This window comes from Homo sapiens, chromosome 14 (genome assembly GCF_000001405.40).
Source record: "Homo sapiens chromosome 14, GRCh38.p14 Primary Assembly".
Classification (NCBI taxonomy): Eukaryota; Metazoa; Chordata; class Mammalia; order Primates; family Hominidae; genus Homo; species Homo sapiens.
In genome coordinates this window covers 40,257,414-40,277,334 of record NC_000014.9, presented here as the reverse complement: position 1 = coordinate 40,277,334, position 19,921 = coordinate 40,257,414, and the positions used below count along the sequence as shown (strand labels likewise).

The 19,921-nt window shown below is 34.4% G+C and overlaps 2 long non-coding RNA genes across 2 annotated transcripts in view; one reads left to right on the top strand and one right to left on the bottom strand.

Moving 5' to 3' along the window:
- Window positions 1-19,921, top strand: part of LOC105370463 (uncharacterized) — a 117,571-nt gene that overhangs the window by 71,243 nt on the left and 26,407 nt on the right. The gene's annotated exons all lie outside the window — the stretch shown is intronic.
- The window catches only part of LOC105370464 (uncharacterized), a 47,489-nt gene continuing 39,585 nt past the window's right edge, over window positions 12,018-19,921 (bottom strand). Inside the window, exon 3 of the long non-coding RNA XR_001750738.2 lies at window positions 12,018-12,520. This is a non-coding gene — a long non-coding RNA (uncharacterized LOC105370464). The remainder of the gene's footprint in view (window positions 12,521-19,921) is intronic.

Genomic DNA, 19,921 nt, shown 5'->3' with positions numbered 1-19,921 from the left:
AGAAATGAGATAGACAGAAACACAATAATAGTGAGGGACTTCAGTACTCCACTGGCAGTACTAGACAGGTCATCAAGACAGAAAGTCAACAAAGACACCATAGATTTAAACTATACCTTGGAACAAATGGACTTAACAAATATACACAGAACATTTCATCCAACAACCACAGAATATACATTCTATTCAACAGAGCATGGAACTTTCTCCAAGATAGACAATATGATAGGAGATAAAACAAGCCTCAGTAAATTTAAGAAAATTGAAATTATACAAAGCACTCTCTCAGATCACAGTGAAATAAAACTGGAAATCAACTCCAAAAGGAAACTTCAAACCATGCAAACACATGGAAATTATATAACCTGCTCCTGAATGAGCAATGAGTCAAAAGTAAAATAAAGATGGAAATTTAAAAATTCTTCAAACTGAACAACAATAAAGACAGAACCTATCAAAACCTCTGGGTTATAGCAAAGGCAGTGCTAAAAGGAAAGTTCATAATCCTAAATGCCTACATCAAAAAGACTGATAGAGCACAAACTGAAATTCTAAGGTCATACCTCAAGGAACTAGAGAAGCAAGAACAAAGCAAACCCAAACCTAGCAGAAGAAAGGAAATAACCAATATCAGAGCAGAACTAAATAAAATTGAAACAAACAAAGAAACAAAAATACAAAAGATAAATGAAACAAAATCTGTTTCTTTGAAAAGATAAATAAAATTGATAGACCACTAGCAAGATTAACCAAGAAAAGAAAAGATGCAAATAGCCTCATTAAGAAATGAAACAGGAGACAACTGACACCACTGACCAGACGAATTTACAGCAGAATTCTACCAGACATTCAAAGAAAAATTGGTACCAATCTTTTTGACACTGTTCCACAAGATAGAGAAAGAAGGAACTCTCTTTAATTCATTCTATGAAGCCAGCATCACCCTAATACCAAAACCAGGAAAGGACATAACCAAAAAAGAAAACTACAGACTGATATCCTTGATGAATATAGACGCTAAAATCCTTAACAAAATACTAGCTAACTGAATCCAACAACATATCAAAAGGATTATCCACTATGATCAAGTTGTCATACCAGGGATGCAGGGATGATTCAACATACACAAGTCAACATATGTGACACACCACATAAACAGAATTAAAAACAAAAATCACATGATCATCTCAATAGACGCAGAAAAAGCATTCAACAAAATCCAGCATCCCTTTATGATTAAAACTCTCAGCAAAATTGGCATACAAGGGACATACCTCAATGTAACCAAAGCTACCTATGAAAAACCCACAGCCAACATAATACTGCATGGGGAAAAGTTGAAAGCATTCCCTCTGAGAACTGGAACAAGATAGGATGCCCACTCTCACCACTCCTCTACAACATAGTACTGAAGTCCTAGCCAGAGCAATCAGACAAGAGAAAGAAATAAAGGGCACCCAAATTGATAAAGAGGAAGTCAAACTGTCACTGTTTGCTTATGATATGACTGTTTACCTTGAAAACCCTATAGACTCCTCCAGAAAGCTCCTAGAACTGATAAAAGAATTCAGCAAAGTTTCTGGAATGCAAGATTCATGTAAAACAATTAGTAGCTCTTCTATACACCAACAGCGACCAAACTGAGAATCAAATCAAGAACTCAACCCTTTTACAATAGCTGCAAAAAAAAAAAATACTTAGGAATATATATAACGAAGGAGTCCAAAGACCTCTACAAGGAAAACTACAAAACACTGCTGAAAGAAATCATAGATAACACAAACAAATGGAAAGACATCCCATGCCCATGGATGAGTAGAATCAAAAATTGTGAAAATGATCATACTGCCAAAAGCAATCTACAAATTCAATGCAATCCCCAGCAATATACCACCATCATCCTAAACAGAATTAGAAAAAAATTCTAAACTTTAGATGGAATCAGAAAAGAGCCTGCATGGCCAAAGCAAGACTAAACAAAAATAACAAATCTGGAAGTATCACACTACTTGATTTCAAACTATACTGTAAGGCCATAGTCACCCTGACAGCATGGTACTGGTGTAAAAATAGGCACATAGACCAATGGAACAGAATAGATAACCCAGAAGTAAACCCAAATATTTAAAGCCAACTAATCTTCAACAAAGCAAACAAAAACATAAATGTGGGGAAAGGACACCCTATTAAACAAATGGTGCTAGGATAATTGGCTAGCCACATGCAGGAGATTGAAACTGGATCTTTATCTCTCATCATATACAAAAATCAACTCAAGATAGATTAAAGACTTAAATCTAAGGCCTAAAGCTATGACAATTCTAGGAGATAACATTGGAAAAACCCTTCTAGAAATTGGCTTAGGCAAAGATTCCATGATCAAGAACACAAAAGCAAATGCAATAAAAACAAAGATAAATAGTTGGGACTTAATTAAACCAAAGAGCTTTTGCATGGCAAAAGGAACAGCCAGCAGAGTAAACAGATGGCCCACAGAGTGGGAGAAAATCTTCATAATCTATACATTTGACAAAGGACTAATATCCAGAATCTACAATGAACTCAAACAAATCAATAAGAAAAAAAACCAAATAATCCTATCAAAAAGTGGGCTAAGGACACGAATAGAGAATTCTCAAAAGAAGATATACAAATGGCCAACAAACATAAGAAAAAATGTTCAACATCACTAGTGATCAGGGAGATGCAAATCAAAACCCACAGCCAACATAATACTGAATGGGGAAAAGTTGAAAGCATTCCCTCTGAGAACTGGAACAAGACAGGATGCCCACTCTCACCACTCCTCTGCAGCATAGTACTGAAGTCCTAGCCAGAGCAATCAGACAAGAGAAGGAAATAAAGGGCACCCAAATCGATAAAGAGGAAGTCAAAGTAAGGTGATACCTTACTTTGGAGTACCTTATTCACCTTTGATACCACCTTACTCCTGCAAGAATGGCCATAATAACAAAATAATAATAAAAAAACAGTAGATGTTGGCATGGATGCAGTGATCAGGGAACACTTCTACACTGCTGGTGGGAATATAAACTAGTACAGCCACTATGGAAAACAGTGTGGAGATTCCTTAAAGAACTAAAAGTAGAACTACCATTTGATCCAGCAATCCCACTAAGTATCTATCCAGAGGTAAAGAAGTGACTATACGAAAAATATACTTGCAAACTCATATTTATAGCAGTACAATTCACAATTGCAAAATCATGGAACCAACACAAATGTCCATCAGTGAGTGGATAAAGAAACTGTGGTCTAGATATACAATGGAATACTACTCAGCCATAAAAAGGAACGAATTAACAGCATTTGCAGGGACCTGGAAGAAATTGGAGACTATTATTCTAAGTGAAGTAACCCAGGAATGGAAAAGCAAACATTTTATGTTGTCACTGATGTGTGGGAGCTAAGCTATGAGGATGCTAAGGCATAATAACGATACAATGGAACGTGGGGACTTGGGGGAAAAGTGGGAGGGGGCGAAGGATAAAAGACTACAAATATGCTGCAGTGTATACTGCCCGGGTGATGAGTGCACCAAAACCTCACAAATCATCACTAAAGAACTTACTCATGTAACCAAATACCACCTGTACCCCAATAACTTACGGAAAAAAAAAACAGTGTGAGATCACAAAAAAATATGAAAGGTTTAGATTAGTTAAAATGTATTTTATAAAATCTAATGACGTCACTAAAAAACAAGTTAAATGAGTACGAACCTAACAACTGAGCATCAAAATATATGAGGAAAAAAACTGATAGAACTGAAAAGAAAAATAACCAAATCCACTATTATAGTCAGAGACATCAACAGTCCTGTCAGTAGTTATAGATCAATTAGTCAAAAAATAAAGATGAATATGTATGACCTGAACAGCAATAAACTTGATCTAAATTACACCTGTAGATTTCTCTGGTCAACAGCAGAATAAATACTCTCAAGCTTACATTGAATGATCACCAAGATAGACTGCATTCCAGGCCATAAAATATACCTTAACAATTTTAAAACAATAGAAATTATATTGTCTGTCTACAGTGGAATTAATTTAGACATCAATAATAGAAAGATAGATAAAAATTCCCAACAATTTGGAAATTAAACAATGCACTTCTAAATAACCCATGAGTCAAAGAAGTCCCCATATGAGTTTATAAATATTTTAAGTAAAAAATAAAAGTACAACTAATTAAAATTTGCAAAACTCAACTAAAGCAGTCCTGGGAGGGAAAAGTATAGCATTCAGCATATATTTAAAAAGTAGAAAGATCTAAAATTAATAACCTAAGATTCTAGTTCAGAAAATTAGATAAAGAAGCACAAAAAGCAACTCCAGACTATGTATAATCCATGAATATAGAGATATATGAATTATGGCTATGTTTATATTTGTTTTTCTTAAATACACAATGATGTGGTTCTTGACATTTTATAACCAACAATGATTGTCTTAAATATCACAGAAATACTGTAAGATCTAGATCTCATTTACTACAAACATTGCTTTAGATTACTATGAAGTTCAGGGTATCAGAATTTGAGTGAGTATTACAAACTTAAAATAATAAACAAGTTTGCCTTTGGAAGTGATACACCAAGATCCTAATATTTTCATAATTTTCCTTATATTAATTTTACAATGAAAGAATAAAAGGGGGTAATGTAAATAAATATAGATAAAAGCTTAAAATAAAAATGTAAATAATAAAAAGGAGTATAAATTTATAACTGTGACAAATTAAGTATAGAATTTAAATGTGTCACATGTGGACTCTTTAATATCTTCTTATAAATTTAGAAGTCTAGGGGAATATAGTACATTTCTGTTCATCTGAACTAACAATTTAAAACAATCTCTACAGGAGGAGTTTACTAACTTGTTTTTATGTATTTTAAAGAGGCATTTTTTCATAAAATAAACCTTGACTAAATTAAGCTGTTTTCTAGGATCCAAGTTGCAATAAAAAATACAGATGAAGTGTGTGTGTGTGTGTGTGTGTGTGTGTGTGTGTGTGTGTATATATAGTACATATATTTGTATATACACTATATATGTGTATATATACGTGTGTGTGTGTATATATATATATATTTATTTATTTATGTCAGGAGCTGCACTTTGACATAATGGGCTATTGAGTAAAAACATGTATGTAGTTAAAACTTCTACTAAGGATCAATTTGACACATTGAAGTAGACATCATATGAAATGAACCTCCATGTACCCTTCATAGAGTTTCAACAATTATCAATTCATGAGACTTGTGAACTCACCCATTTTCCAAATCCATATCATTATGAAGTAAATCTCAGATATCATGTTATTCCATCCATAAATATTTTACTAAATCTCTCAATGATAGAGCTTTAAAAACATATTACTTTTATAAAAAAAGTTGATTTCTTATTATCTTTAAATACCTTATCAGTGGTCAAATTTCCAATCGTTTGTCATAAATGTCATGTTTCTATTTTAGTTTGTTTGAGACAGAAGTCAAATAAGGTCCACATTTTATGATCAGTTGACATGTCTCATATTTCTTCAATATCTATATTTTCCTTCTAACTACATATTTGTTGAGGGAAACAGGTATTTAGTCCTACAGAATATTTCTCCATCTGGATTTTGCTCATTGCATTCCTGTGGTATACTTACACACACACCTCTACCCTCTACATTTCCTATAAAATAAACATTAAGTTTAGATTAAATTCCACTAAGATTTTGGGGAGGCAGGTGCTTTACAGGTGATGATTCATGATCACTGCTTAGATCCAATGAACTAAGTAGGCATTGCAGACTATTTATATTCTAATTCTACCATTCTTTCTTCAATTACCTGGAACTTTTGCATTAAAAAAACTCACTCTTATTGATTATTCTTGCTTATTTTTCACGTTATCAGGTTTCGAAATAATGAACTGATTTACTAATATTCTTCAACACTGAATAATTAGCATATTTAATTTTAATTTAATTTTATTTTATTTTGTTATTTGTTTAGTTTGTTTGTTTGAGACAGGATCTCACTCTGTCACCCAGGCTGGAATGCAATGGCACAATTATGGCTTACTGCAGCCTTGGCCTCCTGGGCTCAAGCAATCCTCCACCTCTGCCCCCCTACCTCTTCAGCCCCAGTAGCAGGGAATATAAGCATGTGCCACCACACCCAGCTAATTTTTGTATATATACTTTTTTTTTTTTTGAGAGCCAGGACTTTGCCATGTTGCCCAGCTAGTCTCAAATTCCTGGGCTCAACTGATTTACCCACCTCCCCTTCCCAAACTGTGGGGATTACAAGAGTGAGCCATTGCACTAGCCCAGCGTCTTTTAAAGTATCATTATGACTTAAAAATATATGATAAACATTAAAATTTTAAAATATGTTATTTTTGTTATGTTGGTCAAATTGTCCCATATCTGAGCAATGGGAGCCTATTCACATAGGCTCCTAATTTTCTTTTTTTTTTTGGCAATCATGTATTTTTATATTTTTCTATATTTCTTATATGACAATATGTTTCAAGGATCATCTTGTACATTTTCTGTTCCAGACCCGAAGTCAGTCTTTTTTCTGAGATCTAACTCCTTTTTTTTCCCTCTCTTTTTGAAAATACCATTTAGGGATCACAATCTGTGTACAAGTGGTGCTTTCTACTACTGAGTTAGTCATTTTTTAAAACATATACAAAGCTCATAAAAAGTGTTTAATTTGTTAACACAAACTGTTAGGAGTTACAATATAAACTTTGAAGCTATATCGAATAAGTGTACCAAGTATATAACTTAAATATCCTAAGTCTTTGAACGTATGTGATTTTGTAAAAATTTACCAAAAATCTTTGACAACAGGAAACAAATATTTTGGAATTCACCGACTCAAATCGAATTTTATTTTTATCCTAGACGAGATTATTTATTTTAGTGTATGTGTTTTACAGATTAAGGGACTTATGCACAAATGGAATAACTGATTTTTCTGAATGACGGTGACACAGTTCACATTTATGTAAATAAAATTCCATATCTTCTTTATCCTACACAAATACTCCTTTCAGTTCACTCTGTTGTGCAACCTCATACTATTTTTTTCCTTTACTTTAAAATCTTGAGTCTCATGAATTCCTACACAATATAAAAATGTAAAGACACAACTAGGCAACATTGTTTTTCCAAGGGGTGTATATTAATAATGAAGGGAAATGTCATAATTCATTATTACCAGAGAGTTGTTTCAAGTCTTTGAAATAGGTGCCCTTTAGCCAATTGTTTTCAAAATGTTTAGCCTTGAAATTTGTTCAAATAAAACTTTAAAGCATCCCTTAATATGACTTCTTTGAACTTTGAAAATCTCTTCGAAATATCAAGTGATTTCCCTTTGGAAATCACTTGGACCGAACATTTTTCTCCAATCATGTTAAAACTCCTCTAAAACTTCTCACAGCGTAACAATTCTAGAATGGAAACACTGAACAGAGTTTTTTTCTTTGTTTCTGAAACTTTTATTAATTTCAGTGAGCCTCCTATCAGGACAGAAGGAATATATTTTGTCCCTTAGTTTTAACTTTTTCAGTGGCAGAAAATTGCTTCCAGGCATATCATTAAATACTGGTGTGCCTATTCATTTTCTCCTGTCACCAGAAGATACCACTTGATACCTTGTCAGTGCTTCAGTCTCCTTTCCATTCAACATATGATTAGCTAAGAGATGGGTCAGACAGATGTAGCTACGTGAAATTATACAATACGTGAGGCATCACCACTGATTTTTTTTTTTGCAGCCCAATAAATCAAACCTGTGCAGCAATCTCTATTCTATAATTATCATAATATTCTGATGCCCTTGTGTATCAGAAAATAAAGGGCAGATACTTCCTGTCAATAAACAGATCTTTTCCAAGTTTACTTCTTAAATCTTTACAACTGTGCCCATATAAGGCTAAGGTGTTTAGCCTCTGGGGACGAGTATCATTATGGATAATGCCAAGTACTGAAAGGAACGCATTTAATCAGACAAAGAGGTAAACCTATTACATTTTGAAATTTAAGCCATTTTCTATATTTGTACTTTTTCATTTTAAAAAGTGCTTTTTAAATTTATAGTGCATACATTGTCTCTAATTTCTAACATGTGAAGGATATAATTACAGGCTGTCATAAGAAATGTTTGAAATGGATTAAATTAGAGGCCACACTACATATTCCTTTAAAAATATTTTTATGCGCAGCAATTGAAATTGTGAATGTTTGATTTATTCACCACTTTAAAAAATATTCTTAAAAGTATATTTGTTTATGATACCTGAATCATTAGAATTCACGTAAATCTTTTCTATATTAATACTCATTTTATATTTTGCTATTTTCTTTGCAGATGTGAATTACTAGCATTCACTGTTAGGGTAAAGGAAGCCAAAATGTTTTAAATAAAAAACTTTGTTTCTTATATCTCTTAATTAATTTATACAATTTTAAGAATAGGTTTTCACTGAAAGATTATGCTTTTAAACTCTTTTCAAAATTTCTACACATTTATGCAACAAGAAAAATTTAAACATTTCCATCCTTTCGAAGTTGAGTCTGCAAGACACTGAAATAATTGATTAACTCAAGAAAACTAGGGGCTTCAAGTAAATACGTAAATGAATATACTGGAAATCATATCTGAAAAAATATATAATTTGACTGAGAAGCCAATCCACGAGAATGATCAGTCAGCTTGCCCAATATGAAACAAAGAGTGAGGTGGATATGTACTGACACATGAAAGTATAAAATATAATGATTTTGATGGTCATTTTCCAAAGTCTAACCTTATAATCGATAAAGCAAAAACTAATTTAGAGAAAAATGCCTTCTCTCAACTATTGTTATATCAGCAATTTTGACAAAGCACTTTCAGCAAAGGTATTTGTAGGCCTTTGCTTTAGAGACATATAGTTCTACTTGTTTTACTCAGAGTCCATCAATCTAATAATTGAAGACTAGGTTTTACTATATCAAATATTTCACTATGATGTTCATGGCAGCACCAATGGTCCTTTTCCTCATAATGCCTGCATTCTGGTACTTTGTCCTTGTATAATTCCCTCCCCTTGAGTGTGGGTGAGGCCTGTGACTTGCCTGTAACCAATAGAATATGGCCCAAGTGTTAAAATATCACTTCCATGACTACATTATTTTATACAATATGAGATTTCATCTTGTTTGCAGGCTCACTCTGGAGTCTCTCTCTCCCCTTACTGGCTTGATAAAATAAATGATGATGTTGGGAGGTCCATGAGGCAAGAAGTTGAGGATGGCCTGTGACACCAGCTAGCAAGAAGCCAGGGACTCTTACCACTGCAAGGGAATAATTTCTGCAATGACCTTAATGAACTTGAAAGCAAATTTATTCCCTGATATGGTTTGGCTGTGTCTCCACTCAAATCTCATCTTGAATTGCAGCTCCCATAATTCCCACGTGTTGTGGAGGGACCTGGTGGGAGACAATTGAATCATGGGGGCAGTTTCCCCCATACTGTGTTTCTCCATGGTAGTGAATAAGTCTCATGAGATCTGATGGCTTTACAAGGGGTTTCCTCTTTTGCTTGGCTTTCATTCTCCCTTGCCTGCCACCACGTAAGACGTGCCTTTTGCCATCCACCATCATTGTGAGGCCTCCCCAACCATGTGGAAGTGTGAGTCCATTAAACCTCTTTTCTTTATAAATTACCCAGTCTCTTGTATGTCTTTATCAACAGTGTGAAAGAGGACTAATACGTTCCCCATCAAGCCTCCAGATGAGAACCCTGTCCTGACCAACATTTTGATTGCAGCTTTGCAGAGGACCGAGATAAACCATAACTAGACTCCTCACCCATAGACACTGTGAGATAATAAATGTGTGGTGTTTTATACTGCTATATTTGTATGCAACTCTGAAAATTAATACGTGCTTAACTTTCATTTAAACTATGAAATATATTTGATAAAAAATAATATATTCATGTTTTGACAGAATAAATATCTGCAAAATAACATAAGTATTTTTTATTTTAATAAATAGAGTTTTCATTTCTGGAATTTATGTTTTATTCTGTTTTGAATATGTTTGGTCACTTTTATCACCTATTGTGTGTGCTCATATTTTTAATCCCTCCATTTATTTATTTAAGAGGTACTTGTTTTAAACTGTGTCTATTAAATTCAATATTTCACGTTATTATATTTCTGAGTTTGCTTAGTATTGTTTTTGATGGATCTTGTTTGTGATATTTTGTATTTTATCAGTTTTCTGATTTCCTCCTGTGAATGCTCACATTTTCTGGAGTTTTTAAGCATATGAATTATTTGAGGTCTGTGTGGAAGTGAGTTTCTTTTTTTTTTTTTTAATTATAGTTTAAGTTTTAGAGTACATGTGCACAACATGCAGGTTTGTTACATATGTATACATGTGCCATGTTGGTGTGCTGCACACATTAATCGTCATTTATGTTAGGTATATCTCCTAATGCTATCCCTCCCCTCTCCGCCCACCCCACAACAGGCCCCAGTGTGCAATGTTCCCCTTCCTGTGTCTATGTGTTTTCATTGTTCAATTCCCACCTATGAGTGAGAATATGGGGCGTTTGGTTTTTTGTCCTTGCGATAGTTTGCTGAGAATGATGGTTTCCAGCTTCATCCATGTCCCTAAAAAGGACATGAACTCATCTTTTTTCATGGCTGCATAGTATTCCATGGTGTATATGTGCCACATTTTCTTAATCCAGTCTATCATTGTTGGACATTTGGGTTGGTTCCAAGTCTTTGCTATTGTGAATAGTGCCACAGTAAACATACGTGTGCATGTGTCTTTATAGTAGCATGATTTATAATCCTTTGGGTATATACCCAGTAATGGGATGGCTGGGTCAAATGGTATTTCTAGTTCTAGATCCCTGAGGAATCGCCACACTGACTTCTACAATGGTTGAACTAGTTTACAGTCCCACCAACAGTGTAAAAGTGTTCCTATTTCTCCACATCCCCTCAGCTTCTGCACAGCAAAAGAAACTACCATCAGAGTGAACAGGCAATCTACAGAATGGGAGAAAATTTTTGCAATATACTCATCTGACAAAGGGCTAATATCCAGAATCTACAATGAACTCAAACAAATTTACAAGAAAAAAACAAACAACCCCATCAAAAAGTGGGCAAAGGATATGAGCAGACACTTCTCAAAAGAAGACATTTATGCAGCCAAAAGACACATAAAAAATGCTCAGCATCACTGGCCATCAGAGAAATGCAAATCAAAACCACAATGAGATACCACCTCACACAAGTTAGAATGGCGATCATTAGAAACTCAGGAAGTGAATTTCTATTTAGCACTCAAAGTGACTGAAAACAAATTCATCATATATTTTTCAAAGCCTATCTAGTCTCCTTATCTTTAATAATAATAATAAAAACAATAACAGCAAATGACACTTATGTGCGACATATGATGTACTGGATATTGCTTTTGGTGCTTTATGTGCATTAATCTATTTAATACTTTAAAAAACCCAATAGCATAAATATTATAATTATTTCCTCTTTGCAAATGATGGAATTTGAGATACAGAATTTAAATTATTTCCCTAAGGCCATATAGTCATTTAGTATTTGATCTAGCACCCACTGCGAGATTCAGGGTGTTTTCTTGATAAATATTTCCATGAGCAGCTAGTTAATGTAGTATGTCACCTCTCCCTTCTTTCCAGACACATATATACATACATGAATTCTGTATCTAAGCTGTAACACATCATAATGATCAACAGAAACAAATCACACTTGTTATAAATCCTAAGTCCTTAGTTCTTACTGCTAGACTAATTAATGTGCTAGAGGTAATTAAATCAGCATAAATATCATAGTTGAATTTCATGAAAAAGATCAGAAAATGTTATGCCCATTAATAATTTCTGTAGCTATTCAAGCAAATATAATGCAATAAGGATAATTAAATCTTCTGCTTCAGGGAGCAAGTGGGTTTGCTTAAGAAACAGAAAAGAAAATATGCCTTTATTCTCTGCCCGAGGGATAATAGTGGAAAAACTGACTAGGTATATTAATGGGGTACTAGAAAGGGTAACATCTGCTGTTCTCTAAAATATCAGAGCTTTGGCTGAGGTAGAATTAACTGATTCATATCTAATATTGAATTATAATAACTTCCATTTACAACATGGTGGAAACAGGCTCTTTTAAAATTTTATTTTAGCTTTAATTTACTAACTACAGTTTTAAAAAATGCTTGCTACCTCAAAATGTACTAAAGATTACATTTTTGAAGTGCTTGGCAGGAAATACTTTAAATTATATTTAATTTTTATTTGCAAACTTGATTTTAATGGTGTTACTTACTCAGAGTAAAAGTTTGTTTTTTTCCTCCCATGGTTTCTCCATTGGTCTGAATCTGAATTATCAGTGAACTATTGGAGGTAGCAGGAATAAACATATAGGCATTAGCATGATGCACCTGAAATACCAAACAAGTTATACAGTAAAAATCTTTAATTATAATTCATAGAAAGCAGTACTATTTTTAATCTTTTAAGAATAAAGATGCTGCATTATTGGAAGCAATTACAAGAGAGGACTATGTGGTAGACTCAATTTTAATGCCTGCAAAAAGATGATAATTTCTAATTTTAAATATATATCTGCCTGCAAATTTACCAATCTACTGTAGTCTTACATACTAATAGAAGGAAGTTTTAATAAGCTGAACAATTCTAATTCTACCTCTCAATTTCAGGTTGTGAGTGTATTTTCTAAAATATCTTTCCAAAATTTAATTTTATTCCTATCTGCCCTCACTTTTTTCCCTTCCTTTGTCTCTAGGCTATGCTAATTTGCATATTTGAATTAATGCACCAAATAATGTTTGAAAGTCTAATCTTATTAAATGCCTCTAAATCCAACACTTCTGCTAACTAGAGAGGCCTTATTAATTAATTCATATGTTATTAAAACCTCATGCTGGCTGCCTACTAGGTTGTCTCTGGGGGTCAAATGGACCAACTAGTTCCCTTAAAAAACCAGAGTGCTGAGACAGAGCAATTGATGTGAAGTCAGATCTCCAAAGAAGCTCATTTATCCACTAGCACAAGACTCCATGCATTCTAGAATTTACTGGTTGAATAATTGCTTAAGATTTGACAGTTTTTGAGCTAAGAGTTTTTCACCTTATTTTCCCACCCTTGAGTAAAGCTTTGTCACAAGGCAAGTTTAAAGAAGAGTGTCAGATAATTTATATGTACCATGTGCTACAATTGTACTAATGGTGACAGAAATTCTTTGAGTAGTGATGGGCCTAAGAAACGGGGAAGGGAAATAACTGATAATTAATTATAATTATATATCAAAATATGAATAGCAGCAGTTCCTTTCCATGAATAAAAATACAAATAAGATACCAGAGGCCTTATATGAAAGAAAATAAAACATGCCAAAAATACAGAAGTACTTACTATAAACTGCATAGAATATATATATATATATTTTGGTTTTTTTGACAGAGTCTTGCACTTGTCGCCCAGGCTGGAGTGCAATGGTGTGATACCGGCTCACTGCAACCTCCACCTCCAGGGTTCAAGAGATTCTCATGCCTCAGCCTCCTGAGTAGCTGGGATTACAGGTGCCTGCCACCATGCCCAGATGATTTTTGTATTTTTAGTAGAGACGGGGTTTCACCATGTTGGCCAGGCTGGTCTTGAATTCCTGACCTCAGGTGATCCACCTGCCTCGGCCTCCCAAAGTGCTGGGATTACAGGCGTGAGCCACCGCGCCCAGCCTAGGATATATTTAAAAAGTGTATGTGTCTGTGATTTGTCCTGTCTATTATATATAGCGGGGTCCCCAACCCCTGGGCCAAGGACCAGTACCGGTCCATGGCCTGTTAGAAACTGTGTCGCACAGCAGGAAGTGAGCAGTGCCCAAGCATTACCACCTGAGCCCGACCTCCTGTCAGATCAGCGGTGGCATTCAATTCTCACAGGAGAGCTAACCCTATTGTGAACTAATATGTGAATAATCTAGGTTGCACTCCTTATGAGAATCTAATGTCTGGTGATCCGAGGTAAAAGAGTTTCATCCAGAAACCATCCTCTCTGCCATCTGTGAAAAAATTGTCTTCCACAAAATCGGTCCCTGCTGCCAAAATGATTGGAGACTGCTGATATATGGGACATAATTCGTAATGAACTGAAGTAACACACCACTACCATTTACATGACACAAGTCAGAATATTCTTTACTGCTCAGCATCAAGTAGGAGTTTCGGATGGGAGATAATTTCCATAGTTACCACAGGCTGAGAAATAGCAATTGGGCCAAGGGCTACAGTTGTCCTAATAGTTAATATTTCTTGCTCCCGAGGAAAGTATTATAGATGAGATGTTCTGAGTAAAACAGGTAAGATGAAACATATGACCACTCTCCAAGAGGCTAGCCTTTGTGCATTCCTGTAGTTACTGCCAAATAAACATTTTTGTGGACTATTATTAGCCTTTACCATTTGATGCAAGTCTCCTTACACACGAAGTTGCAAGAGTGAATTTGGAACAAGCCTAATTGCCCATCAATTATCAATAGACAGGAATTCAAGGACTCTTTTGCCACAGTCTGGATAGGAATAGCTGATCATAAGGCTTCTAAAACCATAGCACTTCCAAACCTGTAAACATGGGTGTTAGAAAGAGATAGTCCATTACAAGGTTCTTGTGTTTGTCGTATTTGCTCAGTAATATTAGCCTACGTATATGTATTTTTGCTTCTTTTAGTAACAGATGTAACACAAATTTCTTATTTACCTACAAAAGTTAATAACAACAGTTCCACATTATGTATAATCAGGGTTTCTTACATGGACTTGCTCTTCTCCCCAAACTTGAGTGGGTGTGTGGCTGTGCGTGTGTGTGTGCGTGTGTGTGTGTGTGTGTGTAGTAAAAGTAAGGAGCAGGCACCCTTTAAAATTTGTGATATGCTTCTGAAAGAAATGCTCCAAAGTTGGCTAAATTGGACTGTCATTTTAATAATTATAATAGAGTGATTAATAGGACATTGTAAGTGCTGTTACAGCATTTGTTGTACAAAAGAATCGTTGAATGGTTATTTTCAAAAATTAAAAATAGAAAACCAATATGATTATTGCAAAACTAACTACTGTACCTGCTTTACAAATGGAAACTCTTAAAGAATGTGTATTTCCAAGAAATATTTCAAAGAGAAATTTGGGCCTGAAATCATTTTATTAAATATGCCTTCTCTTAACCATTAATAATATGCTTTTCTTGTAGTTAGTAATACAAAAGCTTAATATCCAGAATTTACAGTTGGAATTAGCAGATATTGCTAGCATAGCTATACAAGTAGATCATTATTGTCATTAAAAATAGGACATTCTAACAGCTTGAATTTCTGCATTAATAATAGAATTATACCTAAGAAAATAATTACAGTTGGACATTTTTATCAGCTTTTAAAATCATGTGTATCTCATGACTATCACATCAATGAAAATGCAGTTCTTTTACTATGCCAAAGGTAGGCATAAAATGAATTAAAACCAGTAATTCAGTTGAGAATAATATGGATCACAATATACTGAATCACTGGTGGGCCAACCCTGTACTGGGGCTTTGCATATAGTACACTATATACTTACACTATATACTTATTATAACATATAACTAATCATTACATGTTATTACTACCATTTTAAATATAAAGTACAACCAGGAGTTAGTAAGTGGTTAAAATCCTTGTTTAGGTTTTTGGTACACTCTTAACCACTATGCTACGATTTCATTCTTAGCTATATATTTAGAAGTTAAAATCATGTCTTCCTACAAGCATCTAATTTTTTATCCTTTCCTCATCATGAAACCTGCAAAAGTTTCAACCACATCATGATTTCAGGCTCCAAGTCCAGGATCTCATGATCTAGATGAACTCTACATGCAGTGCCTCTGAATCTACAGACCTATGAACTAAAAAGTCAAATAATCTGTCACATAATGTTAAAGAGAGACAACATAACAACAATAAATTATTTCATTTAAAAAGGGAAGAATAGGAGGTATTTAGCAGTCTCTTGTCCATAGCAATTCTGAAATCCCACTTGGCATTACCTGGGGCTAGGAAATATTCCTTGACTTAAAATTTGGGGGTATGACCATAGATCATTGTTCTCATCCTCTGCCTTCTGGAAGTTCATTTCTTTTTCATCATATTCCTTGGACAGTTATAAAGAGGGAATTGGTACATACATCTTTTTTTGGCAACCTGCTAACCACTTGTAGAAATTTGGAGACTAAGAAGTCTTTAGTGGAACTCTCAATCTCTTCTAGTCTAGATGGCAGTGCTTTTTTGCTAATAGAATTTTAGTTTTACAAGGTTATGAGTTTTCTATGTATTTTGAGGTCAACTCTCTTTGCCAAAATCAACGTCCATAATTCTTTCCAAATGCCTCTCTCTCTAGACTCAACTATAGGTACTTTAGATATATTATATTTTGATAAAAATACTACTTTAATCATTCTAGCACCACTTATCTCCTGTTGAAGAGCAAGCTAGTTAGTTTTTAGAGACATGATCTACAAGGTATGTTAATTATTTTAGACGTTTTAATGAAAGGTTTAATGACAACATCCTTCACTGAATATTTTTCCTGAGATGACTTTTAATGGTAATGCTCTGAATTAGGCCTTTTCCTTGAGGCTGTATTTTAATGGCTACATCTTTAATTTGGTGAAAAACAGTTTCATTTAGCAACTCTGCAATTCTGAACTGTCTCTGCTACTCCTAAATACTGTTTGCAAATTGGCTCTTTCTTTTCTGATTCCATCGTTTCCTTGTAGTACCTCTAGATGTTTATCACATATATAATCCTTTTTCCAGTTGCAGGCATTAGTTGTATTAAATGTTTCAGTACTACATATTGTAAGTCACAATTTTTCTAGTGTCCTATAATAGTTTTCTCACTGTTCTTCTGGCCAATTATTGTAGTTTTCTTGTCACTTGTAGCCTTGGTCAAAATCATATTTTAGGTTTTTCTTAAGAGTAACGCCTAATTTCCTGGGAGCAACTTCTGCAATTGTCAGTTATGGCTATAGTAAAGTTGTATGCCATAACACCCCAAAACTCAATGAGTTGAAATAATCATTTATTCCTATTTATGTGTCTGCAAGTCAGCTAGCGTAGGTCTTCTGATACCAGCAAGGTTTAACTAGATGTAATTCCCAGCTACATATATAGTTTAGTCTATTCTGCATGCCTCATTCTTCTGAGACTAGTAAGCTTCCTGGGTTCAGTTGTTCTCATGGTGGACAGAGCACAAAATGGCAAGTTCAAACACGTGAGCACATTTCCCTATTCTGCTTCAGTCATATTTTGCTAACACTTCGTTATCAAACCAAATTACATGGCCAAGCTCAAAATCAAGAGGTGGAGAAGTACATCTAGGGTTAGGATTTAGAAAGCCACATGGCAAAGATGCAGATACAAGTACAGACAAAGAATTGGGTCCTAAAATTTGATCTACCCTAGTGGGTCTGCACAGTCTTTTTTTTTTTTTTATCGTAATATTCCTAGTAAAGTCAGGTTTGTATTTCTTTTTTTTTTTTGTCAGATAGTCTACAGTGTTTATCTGTAATGACACTTATGGTAAAATCTTGATTAGCATATATTGGTTGTTGATAAGTCTGTTTAGGAAACTGTGTATAGAAAAATCTTAGTATAGGCTTTTAAACCTTTCCACTCCCTTCTAAAAGGTATTGTGAAAATTCTAGGATATTCAGGTCATGATGTCAAGCAAGTTGCCTCGATGGACATATGGCCTTCCTGGCATTATGTGAAAACAATCACCAAAAGCAGATGCCTCTCTACCAGCAACAAAGCATGTACCATTTCAAACACAACTTCATCACATTGGTAAAGGCTTGATTTTACCTGTAATTGGGGATTATGTAGATTATTTGATCAGTCATGTGTGCCTTTGATCATAGGAGTTTTTAGACTACGTGTGTGAGGTGATCATAACTCTCAAGCAGTAAATATTTGTGTAAATAATAAAATCTATGCTACTAACTAGATTTTCACGACCAACTCTTCTGAGTGTGAAAAGAGAATAACATCTCTTAACTGATAGCATACTCTGGAATGTGTGTGTATATTTTCAAATGTTGTTCGGTTCTTCTGCTAGGTGGTAGACGAACATAAGAACTTTTTTTGACCGAAAATTCTTGAATTTTGTGTAAAGTGCATTGCAAAAGGTAGTCTGGCCAGCATATTGCTTATATAAAATTCCTTTATAGGTTAGTGTTAAAGGCAAAAAGTGGAATGGATCTGCTAATGGCATTCTTATGTATCATAATATTCTTGATCAAAAAGAAATATGTTGAGTTTCCTAATGTTAAGGCCTAGAATTAGAGAATATAATAGATTTTCCTCCCTTAATCTGGCAGAGAGCTGTCAAAGTTGTAAATCACCATTTATCCAACAATCATCTATTTAGCTTCTTGGTTGTCAGGAAGAAACCAAATACAGAGACCTCCCACTTTCTCTCTACCACATCTGCTCTTGCAGGTGTAACTCATTGTGTGGGTGCAACTATAGGAGTCATTGCCAGACAGCAGTAACCTCAGCCTCCACACAGTCTGGAGGCACCTGGCCATTTACCAGTGGAGAAGGGAAAGTAGCAGTGAATGGCAATAGGGTAACACAGAGCGCCAGAATTCCCTGTTAGATCTTTGGACATATATCTGTGTAGGTTGCTAACATAAGTGGAAGCAGTGAGTTGTAGAATTGGACAGGGTGTGAAGCAGGTAGTTATAACTAAGGATGTGATTTACAGATGGCCAAGAGTGATACTAAATTATCTTCCTTTCCAAATCTAAGAATTCATTTTACCTTAGAAGTAGACATTTTGAAGAAGCATCAGATTCACTAAAGGAGCATGCTGTACATCGAATTTGTGACCTGTTATACTTATTTCAGAAACACAAAGTGCTCACAAATTAGTTGGAGGAAAGGTATCCTCTAGTCATCGAGGAATTTAATCTGGGGGCTTATAGGCACATTTCAAATAAGAAGGGTCTTGAAATTATTCTCTTAATTTCCATATCTTTTGGGTGGAAAATCCCAGTAAAACTTCAGACAGTAAGGTTTACAGGCAATAGTGGATTAATTCCTAGAAAGTCAGTAAGAGAATGAATTGAAGAACTGTGGAAGAGGGAAATCATTTCTATGTATCTCTCACAGTACTCTTCTACCTCTTGGCCTTAGGTAGCAAGAAAAGGCCTGAGACAACACGATTTATATTTTACTAAGTGCATTGGTTCCTAAGACAGGCATCTTGAATTAAGCCCCTCTTCTATTCTATACTACCTGTATGATCATGAGGAAATCTCTTTAACTCACTAAATATGGATTCTTCTCATGTTAAAATGGTTATCATAATTAGGACCTATTACATAGAGTTGTTGAGGAGATTAAATGTTTTTATAAACACAGTGACATTATTCCAGTACCTGATAAAAACTAAATACAGAAAAAATAGTACCATTCTTCCTCTTCTCCTTGTCTTTCCTCTTCTTCATTGTTTTCTTTTTTTACCTTTATCCACTCCATTCCTCTTCTTTTTCTGTATTTCTGCTACACTTCTTGCATTCTCAGAAATTTGTTTGCTTTCATAGACGTTAGATAAAATAATTATGTGACGACAGAATTTTCAAAATTGCTTAATCATAGAAAAAAATACTATTTGTTACATGCCGTTGTCATAAAAAATATATAAATATTCCTGTGCAATTTAGTAAAAAGTTCTTGAGGAAAAAAGTAATTATGTGATTAGCACACAAAATTAAACCCTAGAGGA